The 2,524-nt window shown below is 43.1% G+C and overlaps 1 annotated feature.

The window, feature by feature from the left end:
* Window positions 1,740-1,829: an enhancer, noted in NCBI's record as "active region_5373". NCBI's record gives its function as "activates an Ori minimal core promoter by ATAC-STARR-seq in GM12878 lymphoblastoid cells {active_cell/tissue: GM12878}" and the evidence as "EXISTENCE:reporter gene assay evidence [ECO:0000049][PMID:35858748]".

Raw genomic sequence — 2,524 nt, 5'->3', positions numbered from 1 at the left:
AAATTTTTTGTAGAGACAAGGTATCCCTGTGTTGCCCTAGCTGGTCTTGAACTCCTGGGCTCAAGCAATCCTCCTGCCTCAGCCTCCCAAGGTGTTAGGATTACAGGCGTGAGCCACCAGGCCCGGCTACTATTAACATTTTGATGCATGCACTTTCACTATTTTTTACTTTATGTGTGTGTATATTTTAAAACAAAAATCATCAAAATTTACATTGTTTTGTAGCTTTTTTTTTCATTTAGTGATTACGGAACTATTTCAATGTCAATAAATGATCTACATTACAATTTTTTCCCCTATAATACTTCTTATTATACAAGTATTAACTGTGCATTGCTTTGAGCTTAGAAAATGGAGAAAAATTGTACAGAAAGAAATAACTCATCCAGAGATTAATTGCTTTCAATATAGTCGTCTATTTCTTGGAAGATTTTCCCCCATCCCTTCTTACTATTAGTCCACAGATCCTCCAGCTCAGCCAATGATAGCAGCTGTAGTCAGCTGGGTAATGGCCATTCAAAGATATCCTTGGAACTTGCAAATGTTGCCTTATTTGGGAAAAAGGTCTTCGCACATGTGATTATGTTTAAGGATCTTTCAAAGGCACCAACCCAGAAGTTGGTTTCATTTCCTGGAAAAAAACTTGATAGCTAGGGTTAATATATTGGATCCGGAGATGAAAAGGGCATCTATACCAAGGGAACTGACGTGCAGATTTTGGACTTCCTGTAGGTTAAGAGTTTGAATGTTCTGCATGTAGGCTGTGAGTTTCAAACTTTTTAAGTAGCTGAAAACTCAATTGAGGATGCGTCTGAGGTGGCACAAGTAGAAGCAGAATCCACAGCTGAGGTCCAAGTCAAGCGCTAGAGGCAAAAATGGATCAGAGGCACCTGGTGGAGGCTGTAGACAGAAGCCCCAGTAGAAAGACTTCTGACCTCATCATCAGCCATAAGCAAGGTGAAGGGCATTCAAAAGAAAGGGACTTTGGTGGCACAGGGAATTTTCAGTTTCCATGGTTCATCTACTGATTTAATGCATTATTGATTATATGCTACTAATTAACCTCTTTTTTTTCTTTTTGCCCACTCCAGAGTGCTAAGGAGGTCCGATTAACCTCTTTAATAACCTTGGTTTTTTGGTTTTTTTGGTTTTGAGATGGAGTCTCGCTCTGTCACCCAGGCTAGAGTACAGTGGTGCAATCTCAGCTCATTGCAACCTCCACCTTCCAGGTTCAAACGATTCTCCTGCCTCTGCCTCCCAAGTAGCTGGGATTACAGGCACCTGCCACCATGCCCGGCTAATTTTTGTATTTTTTAGTAGAGATGGGGTTTCACCATGTTGGCCAGGCTGGTCTCGAACTCCTGACCTCAGGTGATCTGCCCACCTCAGCCTCCCAAATTGCTGGGATTATAGGCATGAGCCACTGCACCTGGCCAAATAACCTTGTTTTAAATGGCCTAGTATGGGGTTGAGCCACAACCACCTCTCTCAGTGATTCTCAGGAGTCTGGAGGGGAAACCAGTAGGGGTGATCATCTTTAATAGTGACTAGAGGACCTTACAGAAAAAGTATGCCAAACATAACTGCTCCATGTGTGAATCTGTCATTCTGGCTAATTTGGGAGATTGCAGGGGTGGTCCTCCAAAAGAACAGAACATTTTGGAGGGTTTGAGTAGATGAACATGAAATGTTGGGTGTGGGTGGGGACAGTCACTTCAGCCTGCTCTACCCACCCAAAGCAACCAGACTGGAAGATCAAGCTCTTAGTTCAGAGATGACTGGGCTGGATTTCCCCAGCCACACCACAAGGGGAGTCCCAAGGAAGAGGAAACAGGGAAACATTGTGGGTGACACTGAGGCTTTCTCCCAGTCCTCCCACTGCTCTGGGCATTTCCTCCAGAGAGGCCCTGCTCCAACAGTGAGCACTGTGGGCTGTGCACCTGCTGCCCTCAATGGGGTTTAGCTATCTTCTGATTGAGATGGAGAAAGGTTGGATGACGAAGTGAAGGGGAGGGGGTTGTGCTGGAGCAGTGATGAGCCTCACGTCGGGACATTCCAGCCACAGAGTTAAGAGGATGGAAGAGGAAAGCCAGTGGGAGAGAAAAGGAGAGAGCATGAGATCCAGAGTTCGGGCACGGCTTAGAAATTTAATCTAACGTTAGATGCCAGAGCAAGGAGGAAGAAGGGACCTCTCATTCACCAGTCTCTTCCCTTATCCATCTACTTTCGCACCCCTAACTTGCATTGTATGTCAACACTAATTAATTCCAATGAGAAAATACATATGACAGTGCTCTGTGAACCTTAAAACCCTAATAATAATGATAATAAAGAATAGCATTTATTGAGAGTTACTATATGTAGTCACAGATCTAAGCACTTCACATATATCCATCTTATTTAATCCTCATAATAATTTTGTGACAGTTATTATTCTAATTTTAGTGATGGGAAAATTGAGTCTTAGGGAAATTAAGGTTAAGAAATTTGCCCATGGATATATAGATAGGAAATGGCAGAGTCA

Source organism: Homo sapiens, chromosome 11 (assembly GCF_000001405.40).
Source record: "Homo sapiens chromosome 11, GRCh38.p14 Primary Assembly".
Lineage (NCBI taxonomy): Eukaryota > Metazoa > Chordata > Mammalia > Primates > Hominidae > Homo > Homo sapiens.
The sequence above is the reverse complement of the archived record's forward strand: the minus strand, read 5'-3'. Positions and strand labels throughout refer to the sequence as shown.